Consider the following 23562-nt stretch of genomic DNA (forward strand, 5'->3'; position numbering starts at 1 on the left):
TTTAGAAAGTACCAGGTTTTATTATCTTTTTATCAAAAAAAATCAGTAACAGACAACAGTGTGAGAGGTGCCTACAGAGGAGGTGCTCACTCCAACACAGCCCAAGGGGAAGGGCACTGGGGGCAGAAGAGGACCCAGCCAGCTGGGACCCTGGGTTGCAGTGGTGACGGGAGCTAATGGCCACTGGTGCAGCAAGGGAGGGTGGTTCCCCTCACCGCAGCCACTGGGGTCAGGAGGAGACACGACCTGCCCAGGCTAAGCCACCAGGCCTCCCCTCTCAGGAGAGGGAGGGTCCCAGACAACAGGCCCCAGCTGGGGCCTCATCAGCCCTCCCCCATTCCCCCCCCCCTACCCAGGGAGACAAGGGTCGTCCCAGCACAGCTGAGGCTGTGACTCGTTAAGCCAGTTTAGTTCTCTAGAATAGTGCTGTCCAACAGATGGACATGCTCTCGCTGTCAGTACAGTAGCCATGAACTACATACAGTGACGCCTCTAGAAACGTGGTTAGTGCAACTGAGGAAGGAATTTTTAATCTTATGTGATTTTAATTGGCTTAACTTTAAACAGCCGCATGTGGTTACTGTATTGGATAGCACAGCCCTAGAGCCTGAAGAAAGCAAACCAAAGAACACCAGCTGGGTCCCAAACAGAAGGCAGAAAGGGTAGAACCATCCACCTCAACTATTCCAGCCCCATCAGAAGGCACCAGGAACAGGGCAAGAGAAAAAGGCAAAAACCCACCCAGCCACATGAAAATTCACTCACTCAACCACCCAGCAACATCAAACTGGAAACACCACACTATTTCCTGAAAAAAATATATTTATCTATTTTTCTAGAACCAAGGAAGAATAATAATATATTATAAGAACACAGACACAAATATCCCACCATCCCCTTCATTATATTTTGGGATCTGCTAAAAAAAAACTATGTTTCGGCAAAAGCTATTTTATAAGAGGAAGCAGCTTCAGAAAGGGCCAAGGCCATGAGGAGCGGGGTTTAAAGTATAAAAAAAAAACTGGGGAAGGGGTTTAATGAAAGAGAACAAAGAAAGAAGAGGGGAAGGGAGGCCCTATCTAAAGCTATAAATAGTAAAAAAAAAAAAAAAAAAAAAAAATTAATAAAAATCATCTCTCCGGCTCTTCTCTCATTTTCAAGAAACAAACAAAAACAAAAACAAAAACCATTAAATACAAACTTAGCAGGTGCTGTGGAAATGTGCGAGAGAATGAAGACACCTCGGCACCTCCACACTCTTGCCCAGGCAGAGATATACACTCTGCACAAAGGAATGAACAGTTAAAAAAACGAACAAACACTAAAAATAGATTTACAAATATTCTATAAATCCATTTCAGCATAAACTCTCAGCTCTTTTCCCCATCCTCCCCCCCAAATAAAAAAGGTTGATTTCCAAAAGTCACTTGAAAGAGCCTAGAATGGCCCCAGGTATATACCACAGAGATTCCCGTAGTGTGATCACAAGTACCCATTTACAGAAACATCTCAAGGTGCAGGTGGTTCTAGTTCCTTCCCCCATTTCCTGGCAGAGAGACCGGCTGTGAAAGGAAGGGAGGAAGGCCACTGGGGGAGGACCTCCAGCCAGGACTCCACACAACATCCGTTAGCCCCCTGGCTTCAGAGGAGCTCTGGATGAGGCATGGTCAGTATGGGCTTGAGGGCGGACCTAGATTCTTAACTGGAAGTTTAAGAAGTGATCCAATCCCAGTCTTGCCTTCAGAAAGGCCAAGTTGAATCCATTTTTCTGCCAGGGCAACTGAGGCCCAAAGCTCAAGAAGAACCTGGCAGAACAGTAGAAGACAATGTCTCTTCTGAACACTTCAAAGGTAATCAGAGCTGGAGATACTGACAAGTCAGTATTAGGTTGACCTCACCCTACCCTAATGTCCACCCTTCAAAATCCCCTGGCTTCCCTCCCCGCTAAAGTCCAAGCCAGTGCCCACAAGCAAGCTTCACGCGTAGAACTCATTGGTGGGGGCTTTCTTGTAGATGGGTTTCTTGCCCAGGTCATAGCTGCCTTCATCCTTCTTCTTCATACGGTACATGAGCAGTAGGATCAGGAAGACGGCAAAGAGGATGCCCACGATGCCACCCACAATCAGAGCTGGAGAGGAGGAGAGAGAAGAGGCGGGGGTGAGAGCTCCTCATCAGGACCTAAGGATGAACCCCTCTTTCCCCCACTGTCAGTTCTCTTACAACCAGACATCCTCACCATCACCACTGCCTGTGCCAGGCAAGCTGATGCCTTATTTAAGTTGACCTCATGACCCCAGTTATAAGAAGTGGGTCGTTGGCATTTTAAGTCACTGAAGACCACAGGGCTAGTGGTAAGGCCACTCCTTTTTCTTTTTGAGACGAAGTCTCACTCTGTTGCCCGAGCTGAGTGCAGTGGCGTGATCTCGGCTTACTGCAACCTCCACCTCCCAGGTTCAAGCAATTCTCCTGCCTCAGCCTCCTGAGTAGCTGGGATTATAGGCACGTGCCACCATGCCCGGCTAATTTTTGTATTTTTAGTAGAGATAGGGTTTCACTATGTTGGCCAGGCTGGTCTTGAACTCCTGACCTTGCCCATCTCGGCCTCCCAAAGTGCTGGGATTACAGGCGTGAGCCACCGCACTCGGCCAAGGCCACTATTTTAACCCACATCTGCCTGAATCTAAAGCCTAGGCTCTTTCCAAACACCACGCGGACTCCCCTGCAACAGTCTAGCACTAACTGAACCAGGAACAGGAGAAAACCGTAGGCTATGGAAATCCCTGTAGACATATTTATCCTGCAGTCCTTAGCACAGGGCACTCTCTAGCTCTCCCTGTGTGCATATTTACCTATATAGCCTACACTTCATAGACAGGTATGTACATTCAAAGTGCACACATGCAGAACATACTAATTCCAAACTCTTATGTTACAATTACATACAGAACTCAGTAGCTAAGGCCTGGTTTCCACTCCTACCTCTCCTACTTCCTGGCTGTGTGATTTGGGGCAAGTTTCCTTCATCTCCCTACCGCAAAATGGGAAGAGCCATACCTTTCTCATACATTTGTCCTAAGGATTAAATAAATTAATCCACTCAAAGTGCTTAGAACAATGCCTAGTGCATAGCATATTCTCAAGATTCATTAACTGTAAGGGTTTAAGGTTTATATCTGTGTCCCGAACCCCCTGAATCAGGTGTGCACAACAGGAGGTGCTTAATAAATGATACTTTCAGGCTCCGAGAGGAGAACCTGCCTAGTGTTGGGCAGAGATGGGCTTCTAACAGTGAGTGGGTCTGGCCTGTCCACTCTGCCAGGTGGCCTGAATGACTCATTCCTGTTTGCTAGGGGCAGGGATGCTTCATAGAATCCCTTCTGTGGCAGATTGAGTTCCCTAATTCGGTCTTACTCGGGCTAAGAAGATTAATTTTCCATCCCTGCACACACTACAAATCTATGTACACAATGGGGACAGAGTGGCACAGAGGAGTCAAGCAAGGTTCTTTCTTGGGTAAAATCCTATGAAAAAGCAACAAAAAAGTACCCCCAGGAGGTGCCAGAGCAAGCACATGGAATATCAGGCATCAACCCCATTCTTGTCTCTATCACCTTTCCCTCTGATGACCCCAGTTCCTCCACGAGGCCCTGGGTCTGCGCTGGGATGCCCCACAGGGTCAAGTTTCAAGCACAGGCTCAGAAGCTGACTGTGGTCCTCAGTCCAAATGCCAGGTCTGCCACTTCCAGCTTTGTGACTTCGGATAAGTTCTTTAGACTGAGTTTTGTGTTGTACGGACTCAATCAGGGGCACAGGAATCATACAGCATACAGCAAGCATTTAATAAGGCTCCTGGGTGCTGATTAAAGCTTCTGGAATGGGGGATTCCACCACACCAGCTAACAATATAACTTTTCACATGAGGCTCTTAGGCTTGTATAATTCTCAAATGGAAGATTAAAGAGATAACCTGGCTTCAGTTCTTTTCTTACTATGTGGCCTAAAGCCTGGGCCTCAGTCTCCCCATGTATAAGAAGCAGGTGCTTAGATTAATCAGTGGTTTTCAAATTTTTCTTTAGAAGCAATAGCACCTTTAGTTAATTAGAGCAAAACCTTATGCAAATCCAAAGTCTTATGCAAATCTTTTTACTTCTGAAAGAAAAGTAAAAAGAACTTTGGCTCAGATACCAGGAAGCCAGGGTCAGGGCTGAGGTGGGCCCAGTCATCAGGGGCTGTGCTCCCAGGAACCCTCTTTACAAGAGGCAGGTGAGACCTTCCATCTGTCCTGGATGAAGCCAGGCTCTGTCCCTATAGCTCAAGCCTCCTTGGAGCTGCTGGCTCTGTTGATTCCCAGGAGACAGGAGTTACCCAGCATGGGCCCAGGGTGCCCACTTGCCAGGCCGGTTCATCCAGGCTGGCCCTCGGCCATGACCTTGGGGAGTTCCCTCCATCCCTTTTGTCAACACCTGGGACAAAGCATTCCTCACCGCACATTCCAGTAAAGAACTCTCAACTGAGGCCAAATCGGAATAGCCCTTTATAGTGTGCAAAGTTATTTCATATTTTATTTTTCATGGACTCATTATATCAACCCCAGAAGGTATCACTGTACCCATTTTACAGATAAGGAAACTGAGGCTCATCAAGTTCGAAAGCTTCTCAGCCAAGGTCACAAGGCTGCCAAGTGATAGAGTAGGGGGAGGGGAAGCTAACCCAATTCGAAGGAGCCTCCAGACTTACAAGGGAAATTAACTTTTAATGATTAACTCCCAGATGCCAAACTTATACAGTGAAAGTCCTTTGCAAAATAAATGAGAAAGACTTAAGGCAGAAGAATGACTCAATGCCTATTTTCCAGAAGACTTTGATAGGTGCTTTTTCCTCTCCCTCCACCAGGCTGCACAGTCAGAGCCACCCCATAAGGAAGGTGTAGTCTTTCAATGTTCTAGGGCAACCTGAATAGGCAAAAGGAAGGGGCACCAAGGAGCCTCATGGCTGGAGGCATCCCTGCCTGCAGGTGCTCTCCCCCGCTGAGCCCCATTCCACCTTCAAGGCATCTTATAAGCAGCATGGGGACTTACCTGCCAGGACCTCCGTTCTCTCAAAGATGTTGCTGCCCTGCACAGTGCTGGACATTGACACCTTGTTGGACACATCCTCACTCTCTTCAACGGGTGAGATTCTCTTGGGGATAACCTCATTCTCCTCTAGTTTCTTGGGTTCGGTGGGGACTTGGCTCCCAGACCCTGCCCTCTCAGGGATATGGTTATCTAGAGGCACCTGGATGGGCGGAAAGGAGAAGAGACACTCAGCGTATTTTGGAAGAGACTCAGGGCAGGGGACAGGGACATTCAGCCAGGCAGAGAATCTGGTTCTGCCATATTCAGCTGAACCATATGGTCCTGGAGCAGGAATTGGCAACACTGTCTCCACAATTATGCTGCCAAAATCCTTATCCCCAACTTTTTTAGTATATCTGTCCCAAATGAAAAATGAATGCACCCAAGGGAACAGGGAAGCAGGTGCTCTCCTGCACTGCTGGCCACTGGTTATTCTAGAGCAACCACTCTGGAAGCAATTTGGCAAAACCTTAGACATCGCTTGCCCTTTAAGGTGGCAGTTTTGCCCTGGAAACTCTATTGTAAGGAGCTCTTCAGAGACTACGTGTAAAAGATGCTTGCTGCAGCTCCTCTGCCTATGAAGTAGCCATTCTTTTATTCCTTTACTGTCTTAATAAACTTGCTTTCACTTTACTCTATGGACTCACCCTGAATTCTACCTTGTGCAAGATCCAAGAACCCTCTCCCTTGGGGTCTGGATCGGGACCCCTTTCTGGTAACATCTTTCTGGAGAACCACAGAAGGGATGAGACGGAGGAGACTCCCGAATCAAAGGAAATGGACTGCAGCACTGATTGGAGGACTTTGGATATCACCTTTTGTCAGAACTAAGAGTTATGAATGGCCCTCACCATACTGGCCCTTTCTGACTGAACCCCTCTCTACCATGGATACAAGAGGCCCTAATAGTTAAGCAGGAATATCATCACCCTATTCAGCATGAAGAAGTTATAGAAGATGGATCTTTGTCCCTCTGCAACCCTTAGGATTAAGGGTTTTCTTACAAAAGGGAGGGGGAAAATGTCAGGTGTTTGAACCAGAGTGCCTACATCTTGAATAGGGGCTGGGTAAAATAAGGCTGAGACCTGCTGGGCCGCATTCCCAGTAAGTTAAGCATCCTACGTAACAGAATGAGATAGGAGGTCTGCACAAGATACAGGTCATAAAGACCTTGCTGATAAAACAGGTTGCAATAAAGAAGCTTGCCAAAAACCACCAAAAACAGGATGGCAATGAAACTGTTGGTCTCACTGCTCATTATATGCTAATTATACTACATTAGCATGCTAAGAGACACTCCCATCAGTGCCATGGCAATTTACAAATGCCCTGGCAAAGTCAGGAAGTTACTCTATATGGTCTAAAAAGGGGAGGAGCCCCTAGTTCTGGGAATTGCCCACCCCTTTGTTGGAAAACTCATGAATAATCTACCCCTTGCTTAACATATAATCAAGAAATAACCATAAAAATGGGCAACCAGCAGCCAATGCCACTGCTCTACCTATGGAGTAGCCATTCTTTTATTCCTTTACTTTCTTAATAAACTTGTTATTGCTTTGCAAAAATAAAAAAGATGTTTGCTGCAGTGTTATAATTTTAAAATGTTAACAAATTATAAGCCATTTTTCCGTCAATAAAGGGAATCAGGTAAACTATTACGCAGCCTATAAAAATGACAAGAGCATTAAATTATGCAGGGAAATACTCATGACCAGTCTAAGTGAAAAACGCAGTTCATAGAATTATATATATATACTTTTTTTTTTTTTTTTTGAGAGGGAGTCTCTGTCGCCCAGGCTGGGGTGCAATGGTGCAATCTCTGCCCACTGCAATCTCTGCCTCTCAGGTTCAAGCGATCCTCCTACCTCAGCCTCCCAATCAAGTAGCTGGGACTACAGGCGCACGCCACTGTGCCAGGCTAATTTTTTGTATTTTTAGTAGAGATAGGGTTTCACCATGTTGGCCAGGCTGGTCTCGAACTCCTGACCTCAGGTGATCTGCCCGTCTTAGCCTCCCAAAGTGCTGGGATTACAGGCATTAGCCACTGTGCCCGGCCTATATATATACTTTTCTATCAATGCTAGGAAATAGCTATAAATGTAGAGAAAAGGAGTTGGTGTTGACGGTGACTATCCCTGCAGGGAGGATGGCCTACCAGCAACCTACAAAATGAGCCTGGGGCCAGATTTGTTTGTTTGTTTGTTTGTTTTAACACAGTCTGGCTCTGTCACCCAGGCTGGAGTGCACTGGCACAATCTTGGCTCACTGCAACCTCTGCCTCCTGGACTTAAGCCATTCTCCCACCTCAGCCTCTCAAGTAGCTGGGACTACAGGCACATGCCACCACACCTGGCTAATTTTTGTATTTTATGTAGAGACAGGTTTCATCGTGTTGCCCAGGCTGGTCTTGAACTCCTGACCTCAAGCCTCCCAAAGTGCTGGGATTACAGGCCTGAGCCACCATGCCCACCCCAGGGCCAGATTTTTAAAAAGCCTTCCCGCATAGTGGGGTAAGACCCCTCACTTATTCTGCCTATGGGGGCTGTATTTTCTGCCTCTCCCAATAGGTCTGCTATAGAGGAGCAAAGTGGAAGAGGCAGAAGCATGTAGCTACTTACCAAGGGATGGACAACTTCAGGGCCGATCATGGAGTCTTCCAAGTCATCTGTAAGGTCAGAATAGCTGTGTGAGTGAGGTCCATTACCCCAGGAAAATGACCCCTTCAGCCAGGACTGGTGGGAGCTCCACCTTACAACCAGCTTCCAAATGCTCAATGTCCAGCAAGCGAGCTTCCCCACCCCTACTTCAGTCATCTCATCTGTAAAATGGGGCTCCTCAGACCCACCCCCTGGCTCTTTCACAGGAATGTGTGAGCTGGCAGCTGGGCAGAGGCTTCATCAGCTCTAAACCCTTGCTCTGCAAAGTGTGGATCCAAAAACCAATAGCAACACCTGAGAGCTGGTTAGAAATGTAGAATTTCAAGGCCAGGCGCGGTGGCTCACGCCTGTAATCCCAGCATTTTGGGAGGCCAAGGCGGGCAGATCACTTGAGGTCAGGAGATCGAGACCAGCCTGGCCAACATAGTGAAACCCCGTCTCTGCTGAAAATACAAAAATTATCCACGGGTGATGGCACGCGCCTGTAATCCCAGCTACTTGGGAGGCTGAGGCAGGAGAATCACTTGAACCCGGTTGGCAGAGGTTGCAGTGGGCCAAGATGGTACCACCGCACTCCAGCCTGGGCGACAGAACAAGACTCCGTCTCAAAAAAATAAATAAATAAATTCCCTCCATACGTATTCCTAAATACATTTTTCCCAATAATGGGCTCGTAACAATATATCATTAACATCTTTCCATTACAATGCTTAAAGAGTTACATTATTATTTTAATTACTTCTATTCAATGAATTTCATTTATTTTCAATAGTCTCTTACTGTTGAATGTTTAAAATGTTCTTATCTAAAAATATTGTCATGATCAGAAAACATTAAAGCTAATATTTCACTTATTTAAAAAGAGTAAAAATAATTCATTGGTTAAAAAAAAAAGAAGAAGAAATGTAGAATTTCAGGGCTGACTGAATCAAAATCTACTTTTTTTTTTTTGAGACAGAGTCTCTCTCTGTCGCCTGGGCTGGAGTACCGTGGTGCCATCTCGGCTCACTGCAACCTCTGCCTCCTGGGTTCAAGCGATTCTCCTGCCTCAGCCCCCCGAGTAGCTGGGACTACAGGGGTGCACCATGACACCCAGCTGATTTTTGTATTTTTAGTAGAGACGGGGTTTCACCATGTTGGTTGGCCAGGATGGTCTCGATCTCTTGACCTTGTGATCCGCCTGCCTTGGCCTCCCACAGTGCTTCAATTACAGGTGTAAGCCACCGCGCCCGGCCAAAATCTACATTTTAACAAGATCCCCAGGGAATTAACTTTTGAGAAAGAAAACTCTAACTGCAATATTAAAACATTTCCTGGGCGACTATGTGAGATGATGGATATATTACTTAACTCCACTGTAGTAACATTTTTACTATCTATATGTATCCCATAATATCATGTTGTATGCACATAATGAAATTTATTTTTTTATTTTTATTTTTTTTCAAGACAGAGTCTTGCTCTGTCACCAGGCTGGAGTGCAATGGCGTGATCTCAGCTCACTGCAACCTCTGCCTCCCGGGTTCAAGCAATTCTCCTGCCTCAGCCTCCCAAGTAGCTGGGATTACAGGCACTCGACACCACACCTGGCTAATTTTTGTATTTTTAGTAGAGACGGGGTTTCACCATGTTGGCCAGGCTGGTCTCAAACTCCTGACCTCGTGATCTGCCTGCCTTGGCCTCCCAAAGTGCTGGGATTACAGGCATGAGCCACCGTGCCCGGCCATAAAATTTATTTTTTTTTTAAACCAAACACACACGTACTGAGTGCTTGGTAGGTGCCAAAAGCTTTAAGTCAGTTCAGTCCCCACAACACTGATGTACTATCTTTATTATTCCCATTTTACAGATTAGAAAACTGAAGCTCAGTTCACACAGGATGGAGGCTTGAACTCAGGACCATGTGACTCCAAAGCTAAAACTTGCAAAGCTAAAACTTGCAATCATTAACACCTCTCTGCACATAGGAGGGACACTTATTAGCTGTCTGGCCTAGAGGCCTTGGGCCCTTCACCCGCCCCCACCCCCACTGAAGCAGGGACTTGTTCTTGGTTTCCCAACTACATCTCTGCCCACTCATGCCCCCTCCCACCCCATCCCCACTTCTAAGCTGCTACTTTTCCTTTTTTGTTTTGAGACAGGGTCTCACTCTGTCACCCAGGCTGGAGTGCAGTAGCATGATCTTGGCTCACTGCAGCCCCAACCTCCTAGGCTCAAGGGATCGTCCCACCTCAGCCTCCCAAGTAGCTGGGACTCCTACAGGTGCATGCCACCACATCCAGCTAATTTTTGTGTTTTTGTAGAGACAAGTTCTCACCATGTGGCCCAGGCTGGAACTTTTCCTTTCAAAAAAAGGAAAACACTCTATGGGTCCTCCTTCCCCACTCCCACCCTGTCCTGCCACCCATCCTACCCTCACCCCACCCCCACCATGCCCTGCAGAAAAGAGAAGAGCTTATGAGGACACGTTCAGGCTGGAGCTCAGAAAACCCAGAGCTACCAATGACTTCAAAGCAGCAAACAGCTTGTCCCCAGGGGCTCTCAGGGATGGAATAGGTTAATCCATTACTTTTGTTTCCCCTTTTTTTGAGAAGGAAGAAGGGCACTCTAGGAAAAGTCCCACAAAAATCCAAGTCTCAAGGCATGGTCACCCTCCTGGCTGGTGAAGCCACCACTCCCTCCAGCTTTGTGCCTACGCCTGCCCAGCACACCTTCCGTACCCAGATCTCCAGAGCCAGACAGCTCAAAGTCATCAGATTCCTGCCCGGGCCCCACTACATCCTCATCGTCTGGTAGGGCTCCGGAGAAGTATCGGCCTTCTAGGAGGTCCTGGGGGTCGATGACCTCAGTCTCTCGGATCTAAGATAAAGAAAGGAGACACATCAGCCAACATCCCCAGTGCTCCATGACAGCTGATGCCCAAAAGCTAGTGAAGTGGGCATTCAGAAACTAGAAAGAGACCAGGCCAGGGCCTGGAGACCTGCGTCCTGGATCCCACTCTACCTCTAACTCACCGCGTGTCCTTAGGCAAGTCTCTTTCCATTCTGGGCAAATAAAAATAGTACATGAGGCTGGGCACAGTGGCTCACACCTGTAATCCCAACACTTTGGGAGGCGGAGGCAGGCAGATCACTTGAGGTCAGGAGTTCAAGACCAGCCTGGCCAACATGGTGAAACCCCGTCTCTACTAAAAATACAAAAATCAGCTGGGCGTGGTGGCTTACGCCTGTAGTCCCAGCTACTCGGGAGGCTGAGACAGGAGAATTGCTTGAACCCGGGAGGCGGAGGTTGCAATAAGCCAGGATCACGCCGTTGCACTCTAGCCTGAGCTACAGAGTGGGACCCCCGTCTCAAAAAAAATAAAAACAGTAAATGAGGTAATAATCAAATTATTAATATGGCTAGATATCCTTTACCGAGCACTTGCTATGTGCTGGGCCCTGTTTTAATAACTCTGGAGGCATGTTATTCACTTCTTTTTACAGCCGAGGGAGTCATTTTCTTTTGGTGACACAGCTGGCAGATGGAAGAGCGAGGATTGCATACGCAGGGCTGCCTGACTTCAGAGCCAGGAGTCTCCATGCACAGGGCCCTGGGATGCTACACTCCAGGGCTCTGTGATGCAGTGGCAGCTGATTCACACAGGACAGGGAGTGGGCTCCTGGTTCTGGTCTTGCCCAGTCCAGGATACTTTTCCCAGCTGAGTCAGTCTGGGCCGGGACAGACAGGGCTGCCTCACGCACACCCTAAGACAGCCTCAGGTCAGGGCGCTGCCCAGACCTGATGACTCAGGAGTGTACTCCTGGATTCAGTCTTGCCTTCCAAACATCTCCCACAGATCTACTCTGCTGCCAGCACCATGCAGACACCGAGAGGCACAATCCCTACCCTCACAGACCATCCACTCCAGTACCCATAATCATCACTCAGCCACTACCCTGTGGAGACACAGCTGATCAGGACAGAGTCTCAGGTCCACTCCCACCAAACCGCTTGCCAAAAGAAAGTGTCAAAGGTCCCGGGCAGCCCTACAGTACATCAGTTACCCTGCTCCCATCCTGTAGCTCCACCGAGTGGGAACAATGTACCCTCAAGAGCACAGGAAACATTTGGATGCCCATCACCCTTCCTCCAGCTTCTGGGCTCAGGCTTCTGTTTGCCCAGAGAACAGCAGCTCTGAGCAAAGTTCATTATTCTACTAATTAATTCAAACACTAAAGTGCCTAGTATTTGCCAGGAGAGTTGGGGTTTTTCATTAAGTTCAATACACCATGCCCCTCCCGCTGAAAGACATTCCCATCTTCTCCAGACGCCATAACTGCAGGAGCTGGGGGTCTGCTTAGAATCACAGAATGCCAGGACCCAAGGAGCTCCTGTCCTCCCGTTTCACACAACTTGAATCTGAGCCCGGAACAGGGCAGGGACTTGCCCAAGGTCACACAGAGCGTTCGCTACATAACTCAGGATAGAAAGAGGTCAGGTCTCTGTTTCGGACACCCCAGGCAGTCCTTCACTCAGCTGAGACTGCCATTGACAAAGGAGGGTGTCTGAGAAGGAACATCTGTCCCTAAGATAAGGTTATTATCATTGCAGGAGAGGCCCAGGAAAGCTGCTTCAGAGCCACTCCTGTACTCTCCCCACTGGGCTTCTGGGGAGAGGCAGGTGGAACCTGACCCTCATGCACCCTCTTCCACCCCCACAGAGGGAGAATGCTGGATTCCCGGAAGGGAGCGGGGTCAGGCCACAAGGAAGGCAGTGGCCAGGAATCACTCTCTCCCGGGGAGTGGGGAGAATGCTGAACGCTTGGCACCCGTGGGGGTGGAAAGCCAGAGAGGTTAAGTGCTGCTCAGAGATGACTTCATGACTCGGGAATCAGGAGCTGCCGGGCTGCTGGTGCTGGAATTCAAGCCCCCGCACATAGCCCGTGCCTGTGGCTTTGGTTTGGCAGAGCAGGAGGAAGGCTCCTCATGGCTGCCCAAGTGCCTATACCTAAGGGCAGGGTCCCTGTGCTCCTACCTCCATCTCCTGTGGCAAATCCCCCAAGAACCCAAGTGACAGGCCTTAACCAAGCACACAGCCTGTCTAGGTCCTTTTAATAGTCCCTTTTTGCAGAGATGGAAACAAGGGCTCAGAAAAGTAAAGTCACTTGTCCAAGGCCACACAAGCAGGAAGTAGCCACACTGGGCCAGAACCCAGGCTTCACTGACCTGGACATTTAACCACAAACACATAAACACACGCATGAACACATATGTACACGGGGTCACCAGCCTGCCCCAGGCTCCAAGGGAGCCCTGTTAAGTAGGGGGGTCAATCTAGCCGGGAGAAAGAAAGAATGGTACACTTTGGCCAGCTGTTGACCAGGTCAAAGTCCTCAACAGGGGCTGTAGTTCCATCAGGAGACTTGTCTCAGGCTGAGAGACCTTTTCCCACCCCTCACTGCCCCCAGGAGCCATGGAAGGTTGTTTATGCATCCAGCCTCTCTTTCAGTATGTGAAAGTGCTAAGAGGTATTTCAAAACAACCCATGGGATTAGCATGCCCACTGGCTGTTAGGAATTACCTCCGTTTTACATTAGAGAAATGAAGGCTATGAGCGAAAGTGGGGCGTGAAGATCTTGCAGCCAAGTCAGCAGCAAAACCAAGGCTGAAACCAAGATTTATTCCCAGTTCAGCCCTCTTTGTGGGCACCTGTTCATCCTTAACCCTTCATTTTTATACTCAGTTTCCAAAAAAGAAACTAGTCTAGTCTGAAGTCACCCCGGGGCTCCGCGGCACGGCCTGGATTCGATCCTATTTCAAAGCTCTGAAAAGATGGAGTCTTCAAAGGCTGCATTTAGATGAGCCCAGGATTTCCCTCCTACAGCAAGTCAAGGGGCTGGGAAGAAACTTCTTCCAGCTCCCAGTGGTGATAGGAGGACACAGGGAATTAAATCTCTCCTTGAGCTCTGGAAGCCCCCTCTCTGCCCTGTTTTGGTCCCTTCTCCACCCATGACCTCTGACAAGAGGGAAGGCAACTCCAAAGTGGATAAGAGCCATTTAGGACTAGGCCAGCAAGACGGGACCAAGCCCCGTGGGATTGTGGGCAATCACTCTTTTTTGTGTAAAGGTTGGGAAGGCACCAACGGTCCTCCTCTCCTCCGCCCTCTTTTCAGATAAAGCCCATTGAGTCTGGGGTGACTTTGAAGAACCAGGCCACCCAGCAGCCAGGCCCAGCCCTGACCAGAGATGGACCCCGCCCTGCTCCTGGCTAAGAATGTGGTCTGTTCTCCTCAGCTCACCCCACCTTTGCCCAGGCATGTGTGTTCGTGTGTATACATGCACAGGCACCCTCTCTGGGCTCTCAAGTCTCCTTGTATCTTTGTCCCTTTCATGAACACACAACAGAAATTACCAACTAAGTAAGACAGTGGTGGCTAGGCACAGTGGCTTAATCCCAACATTTTGGGAGGCCAAGGTGGGAGGCTCACTTGAGCCCAAGAGTTTGAGATCAGCCTGGGCAACATGGTGAAACCCCATCTCTACAAAAATTAGCCAAATGTGGTTGTGCACGCCTGTGGTCCCAGCTACTCGGGAGGCTGAAGTGGGAGGATCACTTGAGCCCAGGAGGTCGAGGTTGCAGTGAGCTACGATCGTGCCACTGCACTCCAGCCTGGGTGACAGAGGAAGACCCTGTCTCCAAAAAATAAAAAATAGGGCAATGGGCCTAGGTCCCACAGACTCTGCTGGCCCTGTGGCTGGTGGGGATCTGGGATTAGTGCCTGGGGGTTTAGAGATACTACATTCTTCCCCAGACTGTTGGGGAGAAAGAAGGGAGGGGAAGTGCTCTTTTGTTCTACAGAAACTAACACCTGCCAACAGAAGGTATCTGATTTTATAACCTAGCAAACAGACAAGACAAGGGATTTTGCCAAGGTCATCCAAGCAGCTGGCAGCGGAGATGGACTTAGAACCTAGGTATCCTGGCTCCCAGACTGGAATTATCTTCTCTCCCCTTCCAGGGTGTTGGCTGCCCCTAAGGGTCTCAGCAAATCCACAGGCAGCAGCTGTCATTACAGTTATACTCCCCATCTAGTCTTTTGGCTATAGGCATGAAGCTACGAAAAGGTCCTATCCCAACCCTATCCCCAAATCCTATGGCTTCTATCACCCCAGGAAAAGCATGAGTGACTAAAAGGAGTATCCACTACATGCCAAGCACCATGCTGGGTACTTTGTTTATACAAGTTCATTTAAATGGCAAAACAGCCTTGCAAGGTGCTCTACCCATTTTGCAGATGAGAAGACTGAGGTTCAGCTGAGTCACTTATCCAACGTCATGCAACTAGAAAGCTAGAGCTGGGATTCAAATCCAGATCTTCCTCAAGAACACGTCCCAACCACAACTAGGCTTCTCACTGCCACCCACTCTTCACTTCTCTCCAGCCTAACCCGCCAGTCCACAACACACTGGCTGGGCCAGGGCTCCAGGGCAACCCTGTCCCTGCCTAGGAGTAAACAAAGGTGAAAGTGATATCACTTAAACAAAGGAACAGAAACTTGGCTGGGGCACCAGAGAGGAGTTCAGGGTCAGGGCTTGGATAACTGTGAACTAATGAGAGCCTCTCCCGACCTGGCTCCTCCCCAGGGGAGGTAGGGTCGGGGACACACTTGACCCTTCTTTCAGGAGGCAAGACCAGAAGGGTAATAACTGGGCAAGCCAAATTTAGTGGGGAGAGGGGATGGTGAGTACCTGGGGCTCCAACACCTGGACCCACCAGAATGATTTCTAGCAGGAGACCCCCAGCAGCGTACACTACTCGTAACTGTTCTTCCCCACCCCACCCACTTCTTAAGGGCCAGACATTCCCCAGAATGGCTAAAACCTGGGGCCCACAACTGTGACTCTACCACCCAGAGTGGTTGTGCATCAAGGCAGATTCACAAGTGTGAGTTCTGCCACTTCCTAACTATATGAGCTTGGGAGTTTATTTCATCTCTGAAATCCTCAGTTTCCTCTTTTGTGACTAGGGCTGGTAGCACCTTGCAGGGTGATGAGGATTAAGAGGAATGCATTTGTGTGTGCAAGGGACCCAGCACGTGATCAATGAATAGTGGCTGTGATTAACCCCTACCTGCCTTCCTCCTGGCCAGTGGGATCAGTGCTCAAAGGATCAGAGGCCTGGGAAAACTTGCAGAGGCAGTTCTGTTGCTGGAAGGAAGCTAGCCTGGGGACAGGGAGATGGTGCTTTGCAAACTGTAAAGGAATATAATCTATAATAGGTTATCATTTTGCTTCTGAGCCCAGAGACTTTTCAACAACCAATCAGGTCCCTTCAGACTGTGAAAAAAAGATACAGAGATAGTCAGAGACCTGCCCAAGGTCACACAGCTTTGACCACCTGTCCTAAGCAGACAGAGGTAAAGACCATTTTTATTTTCCCCGAAGGTGCAAATGACAGTGACCAGAAACACCTGAAATTCTACTTGGGGACCTGGGTCCCCAGGGACAAAATAAATAAATAAAAATCTAGAAGGTAAAAAGAAACTACACACCAATCCATGGTCTGGTGCTCTGGTGCCTGAATGGTTAAACCAGGTCTGGGGGTGGGGGTGGAGTGAGGGTTCAAATGTCGCCTTCAAGGTCGGGTTACTCTGAACACAATCACTCAGGAGAGAGCCAGGCCTGGCACTGCCTGCAACCAGCTTTTCACCAAGCCTCAGGGCAGCCCATTCCCACAGCAAGAACTCCAGGATCCTAGGGTGCCAGCTAGAAATGGGGGAAGGGTTCAGGAGCCTCTGGATGTCTCCCTGCCAGGAGCTGACCCAGCACCCTTGTTACTAACTCCCTGGATGATCGTGGACAATTCCCTTCTCTGAGCCTCAGTTTTCCAATCTGTAAAAGACAGGTCTCAAAGAGACAAGCCTCCCTCTGTCCCAGCCCAGTAACCAAGCTGGGCATTGCTCCGATTACCGGTGGAGACAGCCAGGAGGGGGCTGGCTCCCTCAGGGCCTCAGAGACAGAGGTGCATTGAAGTTGGAGCTTGTAATCTAGGCAGCAGATCCGAAATCCCTGCTGGATCCGAGGGCTAGGGAGGCTCTCGGGATGTAAACAAACCTCCTGTGTTCTCAGAGCAGAGTAGAGAGCCCACGCTGCAGCCTTATCTCAGCTGATTAGATCAGCCCTGGGTGCTGGCTTCCTGCCTCTTCCCAGCCTCCCTCACCGACCCCCAAGGAAGCCATCCTCCAGACCAGGTCAGTCTGTCCCACAGACGGCTCCGGCAGGGCTTCTCCAAGGCAAGGAGTATCCCCACTCTGGGTAGCCGGGCCAGCCATGTGCCACATCTGCCCCCACGCCCAGAGGCTAGAGTGACACCGCCAGTCCCCGCAGGCCTGGCCACTGACTGCTGGGCTTCACCAAGTCACTGTTTCCACACATACCAGCCTCTCCCTGCCTCCCCTTTCCATTACCCCAGGTGTCACCTGACCAGCAGCCTCTTCTACTGTGCCAGAGAAAACTGGAGCAGCCGAGCTCCCGGGCCTGGAGGACAGGGGGAGGGGTGAGATGCAGCCTGAAGGGGTGGGGGCCGCTGAATAGGAAGGTCTGGGCTGAAGGTGGGGGTTGGGGGAAGCAGGAGGCAAGAACAAGGCTGGGAAGTGGGGGAGGGAGGAAGGATGGCTGTAGAAAGGTCAAAGCCAGAAAGAACTGCTGAGATCAGAGTGACCTTTTGGGGAGTACTGCAGCCCCCTGAAAAGGATAAAAAGGTCTAAACCCCAATAACTGTAACTCTTAGTTTACATTTTCAACATATGCACAGACACCACCTCCCCAAAGCCAAACTCTGGCCGGGTTAAGAACCCTCGTCTAGGTGCTAATAAAGCCAGAACTTTACAAGTTTGCCAAACAGCGATGATGACCTTTGAGTGCCACAGGTGTTTTATAGAGGACACTGGAGTTCACATCAACAAAGTGACGTATTAACTGTGTGTGTCCCTGGGTGAGCAGCAGAGCTAGGACGGGGGCTGGAGTTTTCTGTACCCTCTTTTTCAGTCACCCAGCCTTCAGCAGATGGGACCAGAGAGGCCCCAGTGAGATGCAAGAATGTGCCCAAGGTCACCACTGTGTTAGTTAATGACAAACAAGCCCAAGAAGTCAGGCTTATTCTTCTAAGGTTAAATGAGACCCCAACTGTTGACATATGTGTTCTCTCTCCTCCCTCTCTAGGGCACCATGCAGTGAAAACATACGAGAAACTGGCTTTTCAGAACACTGTACCTTTTCTGTCCACCAACACCCCACCCCTCAAAGTGCTATTTGCAATCACTCAGCCTCCTTAAGGGTAGAAACTCTGCCCCTCCAGCACAGGAGGGTGACCCCAGGTCCTGGACAGTGTCCAGAGTGGTCTGATACCCTTGGCAAACCCCCTGCCCCCTCTCCCTCCAGGCTGCAAACTGTTCAGCATGAGGCTCCAGCAAATCCCAGCAGGAGAGGTGGGGCTGCCCAGAACTGGTTCTTGTTTAAACATAAACCCATTCGATAATTAGCAAACAGCCCACTTCTAAGATAAACAAATAGGAGATTTGGACTCCAAAAGCCCCACCCTAGATTTCTCCCTTCCCACCTCCCAGCTGTGGGGGTAGATAAGGGGGATAAGGGGGATGGAGAAAGCTTTCCAGGAGACCTGGGCTCAGAATCTTCAGAGATAGGACCCCCTGGCATGAAGGTGGCCTGGGCAAGGAAGGGAACTGTCACTAAGTAACACCTCCTCCCTACCAGGCATGGTACTAGGTGCCTTTATTTACAGCCCTGTCGTCTCCTTTAAGCTTCGCCACACCGGTATCATGATCTTCTTAACAGACCAGGAGGCTGGGGCTCAGAGGTGGAGTAGCATGACTGAATTCATGTAGCCAGTAAGAGGTGGACTTCGCACGTCTGGAGTTAAGTCTGTGTAACACCAAGCCAATGTTTCAATGCCCTCTGGCCAGCCCCAGGAAGCAAAGAGGAGTCCTCACAAACATCAGAAAATCCTGGGGTCACACCAAACCTGAACAGTACCAGCTTTTGCTCTCTGAAAAAATGCAGGCCAGTTGCAGCCTCAGTTTTGCCTTAAAGAGGAAAAAAGTACTACCTGCTCTGCAGAGGTCTAAAGCCCAATTTTGAGGACTGGCTGCACAATGTACAATGTCAAAGTCTACATGCAGGCAAGGGGCTGTGAAAGTGCGGGACCTAGTACAAACATGTCCTGTATGTCCCCTCGAGCCCCGGACACTGAAACAGTGACTCCCAAAGGACAAGGTAAAACTCTGAGCTCATTCCAACACCCCCACCACAGAGCTGTCCTATTAGCCAAGAGTTTGAAAGGAAATGGGTGACTCAGGCAGGCTACGCTAGCATGCAGTGACTCACAGCGCTCGGTCCAGCCCCTTACCCCAATTTTAAGCATTCATTTGGAAATCACACTCGCCTGTCCAGTCCGGGAGGTTGAAGGACAGCTAGGAGCCAACTTCTCCCAACAGGGAGATGGGGCTGGGAGCCCAGCCTGGCTTCCCCAGCTCCTCATTCAGGCAGGCTCAGCACTCCAAGTCCTTGGAAAAGCCCTCTGTTTCTAGGAGCTGGGGATGGCAGGAGCTGAATGTCCCCCCGCCACCCCAACTTCTCTTCTGAGACTGGGATTTGTTTAGACTCTTCACCAAGGAGGCCAGCAAAGGGCCCCTCCCCTCATCAATGGGCTCTCTGGGCAGGAAGGACCCTTGGAAGGCAATGGTCCAGCCTCCTTATTTTAGAGTTGGGGACACTGAGACCCAGAGACAGGGCATGTTTGCTCAAGGTCACCCAGCAACGCAGAAGTAGGACCTAAGGTATCTACCTTCAAACCCAGCAAATTTCCTCATCTGGAATATTCTGAGGACACTCAAACCAGACACCTTGCCCTATCAGAAGGACCTGGTTCTGACCTTAGGAAGCCACTGCATTGTTCCGAGCATCAATTTCCTGTAAAAATAGAGAAAATGGTACCTCGCAGTACTGGGAGATACTCATACTAGCAATAAATAACAGTAATGAACCATTTAGAATAAAGTTACATGCACGAATTTATTCATTCATACAAGCATTTCCTGAGTACAAACTAGGGGACAGGTATTTCACAAAAACAAATAGAGCAGAGTTCCTGCCCTCAGTGTGCGGGGGGAGAGAGGGAGGGATTCAGCATTTGGTGGAGTATGTTAATTCCCTCAAGTTAATTCCTTCAAGAGAGAGACCTCTTTTGAATAGTAGGTACTTAAGTTATTAATCAAATTGAGAGATGGAAAGGACTCTGGAGGCTACCCTGTTCAAACCTTTCATTTTAAGGTGGGGGATGTCAGCCCAGCGGGGAAAGAGGCCTCCCCCCAACCTCATGGAACCCTCCAAATCATGGCCCAAATATTTTCGTGGGTGTTTGATAACTCCCTGGGCTCAAGAAGTCCCAAGAGCTCTCACTGTTCACTCAAGGGTCCTAGAAGCCCCTAGGCTTCCGCCCCCACCCCTACTCCCATGTAATCAAGAAGAGGACGCTGTAGAAGACCAGAAATGTCCTTAAGCTAAAGTACACTTGATAGGTGATAGGTGGGGGACACTTCCCCACAACCGCCTGGGCCCGGGGCCAAGTCAGTAGGCTGTGCCCCTGGGTAGGAACACCTTTGGGTGGAGGGGACTCCCAAAACAAGGCTGCCTTTAATTGGCCTGAGAGGGAGTGGCAGGAAGGCAGATCAGGGAATGCTCCCAGCTGGACAGGAAGAACTGGTTTAGTATAGCAAGCCCAGCCAAACAGAGGAGAGGACAGCTGGGTACTGAGCCTGGGTTCCCTTCCAAAATATGGGGGTGGTAAGGGGAATGATGGAACAGTCGGGGGAACACCACCCACAATGGGAGGGCTACTAGTCAGAGATCCTGGGGTCCTGGATGCCCTCTACTAACCCAAAGTAGTACCATTTTACCTCTCACATTTGGGAAGTGGGCATAATAGAATCCCCATGTGACAGGTCTTTTTGTGAGGACAAAATGCACCAGATCTGTCATATAAAAAGTACTCTATCACTCCTAACTGCTATTAGCAAAGTCCTTCTCCCTGGGCCTCACTTTTCTCTACCTGCAAAAAGAAAAGGACACGCTGGATCATCTCTTCAGTCCGAGCCAACCGTGACTATGTCTGATTTTTCCAACCACAATCTAGAAAAGAGGGAGGGGACAGGCCAAAGGGGAAGCCCTGTGCCCCAGTTACAGGCAGGAGGTCTGTGACATTAGCCAGGAAGGGGAGAGCTGAGGTCAGGATGAGACTTGACACCTATCTCAGGAAGCAGCTGCCCAGGGCTGATGTCTCCTGCAGCTGATGGGTCACCCAGGCAGGACTGACACAGTCCCCTTCCCCCAAACTACATCCTTCAGAATGCCCCCAGGACACAGCTGACTGCTCAGCACCCTGAAGCACCTGAAGGCTCAGCAGCCCCTGGGAGGAAACTGGCATGTGACTGGGCACACGGTGACCTCAGCAACCTCCTGGGTCCTTTCCTCTTTTTCCCTGTACTGCCTAGGTGGTATCCCTTCGGATGCTTCCCCAGTTGCTTGACCCGACACATCCTTCAGGGCCTAGTTTAGAGCACTGTGCTAGAGGCAGAAGGCTTGGGTCCTCAGCCACTAACATTTTAGGCAAGGTAGCCTTTGGTTTAGGTTAAGTCATCACCTCACTCTGGCCTTGTTTCCTTCCACCTCAGAATTCCTTTGCCTTCCAGCCTAAAATCTCAACCTATTCTAAACCCGTCTTTAGTTACCAACGATGGGACACCTGGAGTAGCACAAAGAGTAGAAGTTAAGCTAAAGCAGAAACTTGAAAGCCTGGCTGCCTAAATTTCAATCTGACTCACCCATTTATTGTGTATTAACTGTGTGACCCTGGGCAAGTTACTTAACCTCTCTAGCCTCAGGACCAGTTTAAGAACAGTACACAGTAAGATTGTTGTTGGAATTAAGCTCCTGGATATACCCATTAGAAAGTTATTAGAGCAATGTCTGGCCCCCCGACAAAGGCGCTCCACGTTTGCAATCATCATGGCATGCCTGGAATTGTGCTGGAAGTATTGCCTAGGGTCTCATTCATTCCTCAAGAAGAGCCTGCAGGCAGAATCAACCTTCCGCTAAGTAAATTCAGAGGAACAGGAGCCCCAAGGCTTTCAAAGAAATTAACATTAATGGTTAAACTGCAAGGACTCACTCGCTCTGAAAACTGGGGCTAAAGGGCACAAAGGGGGCACAAAGCTCAGGCTGTGGGGGACAGATTGCCTTCACCAGTAATTCCCATGCCCCCCAACTTCCCAGATGAGATTGCCCCCCTCCTCCTAAGCCGGCTGCGGGCATGGATAGAGCTTCTGCTGGCCCAGGGACAGCTATGACGGAGGCCAGTGGACAGTGAGAAGGAAAGGTTTCCCTGGGCTGATTGAGGCCTTCTCTCCCCCCTACCCCCTTCACCTCACTCAAGGTGGATGCTTCAATTTTCTTATCTGCAATTGAGAAAAAATGAACACACTTCTTGCAGAAAGCAGAGGCTCAGCTCCTGGCTAAGTGTTGAGTCTAAACCATTCCTCTCCTCTGTCCTCGAAAAGAGCAGAGTCCCCAACTTTCTAGAAACCCTAACGCAGTGTCCCCTCTTGCCCCATTCCCTCAGACCCTTGGTGCAGTATTGGGAAGAGATTCAGAAGGGCAGGACTTTGCCCTAAGTCACAAGTCAATGACAGAGCTGGGGCCAGAACTGAGGTTAGGGCTCAGTTCTCCTTGGTGTGTGAAAGAGGGCCTCGCACAACCCTAAAACCCTCCCCCTTCCGAGTACACGCAGCCCCCCGACCCCCAGGGCCATCTCGGATCCTAAAGCTGTCTGCTCTGGGCGCCCCGAGAGCGAGGAGGGGATTCAGCGCTCCAAGCCTGCCCCAGGGTCACCAGGGAAGGGACGAGGGTGTGGGAGTTGAAGAGTTGACACCGGCTTAGTCACTAACGAGCCCGTAGCCCGCGGCGGGGCTGAGGCCCGGGGAGGCGGGAAGAGCAACAGGCGAGGGGCGCACGGCGCGTGAAGCCATCCCGGAGGCTGGCCCGTGACCCCGGAGCAAAGTTTCCAACAAAGTTTCCCGGGCCTCGGTGTCCGGTTGGGGGTAGCGTACCCCCGATCTGCCCCCCCCCATCCCACGCTCCGACGAACAAAGGAGGCACCGGCCTGCGCCCCCGCTTCGCCCCCAGCCCGGGAACCTCCAAGCACCCACCGACTCGGCGACTCCGCCTACGAAGAACAGCAGCAGCGCGAACAGACGGGCGGGGGCCATGGCACCGCGGACTGGAGAAGGCGCGCAGGCTGCGGCGAGTGGCCCCGGGCGGGCGCGCCACCCATCTTATAGGCGGCCTACCGGCCCCGCCCCGGCCCGCCCCCGCCCCGCCGCCCGCACCCCGCCCGGAATTCCCCAGTGGAAGCGAGGCCTGCGGGGCACTGCGCCCGCCCGCGGAGTTGGAAACCCCAAGGGACCCGCCCTGCCCGAGCCCGCCGGCTCCTACTCAACCCCTAGTCCTACCCTCCGGGAGCTCCAACTCCCTTTATTTATTTGACCCACTGCCAGGCAGGTCCCCAGAGATCACTGCGGCTAACCCCATTTTATAGTTGGGGAAACTAAGGCCCAGGGACGGGAAGGACTTCCCTAGGGTGTTGAGTTTAGACCAGCCTTCATACCGGGTGTGCTCCCCTCTGAAGACACAGAACTTCCCAAATGGGATGTGAACCGTGTTAAGACAGGGGA

The 23562-nt window shown here is 50.2% G+C and overlaps 1 protein-coding gene across 2 annotated transcripts, besides 1 other annotated feature; it reads right to left on the reverse strand.

The window, feature by feature from the left end:
- Positions 1-23137, reverse strand: SDC4 (syndecan 4). Of its 2 annotated transcripts, NM_002999.4 has the most exons (5): positions 23038-23137; positions 10495-10633; positions 7736-7782; positions 5079-5277; positions 1-2128 (listed from the first exon to the last, which is right to left on the reverse strand). In NM_002999.4, the coding sequence occupies exons 1-5, from the start codon at positions 23095-23097 to the stop codon at positions 1977-1979; spliced, it is 597 nt and encodes a 198-aa protein (NP_002990.2). In that variant the 5' UTR covers positions 23098-23137; the 3' UTR covers positions 1-1976. The 2 variants fall into 2 exon arrangements, with proteins under 2 accessions (NP_002990.2, XP_011527279.1); XM_011528977.3 differs by lacking the exon at positions 10495-10633.
- Positions 17146-18040: an enhancer, noted in NCBI's record as "H3K27ac-H3K4me1 hESC enhancer chr20:43971073-43971967 (GRCh37/hg19 assembly coordinates)". NCBI's record gives its function as "activates a minimal SCP1, AML or CMV promoter by ChIP-STARR-seq in primed H9 embryonic stem cells {active_cell/tissue: H9 hESC(primed)}" and the evidence as "EXISTENCE:reporter gene assay evidence [ECO:0000049][PMID:30033119]".
- Positions 23138-23562: the final 425 nt, after the last annotated feature.

The sequence above is a fragment of the Homo sapiens genome, chromosome 20, assembly GCF_000001405.40.
Source record: "Homo sapiens chromosome 20, GRCh38.p14 Primary Assembly".
NCBI lineage: Eukaryota > Metazoa > Chordata > Mammalia > Primates > Hominidae > Homo > Homo sapiens.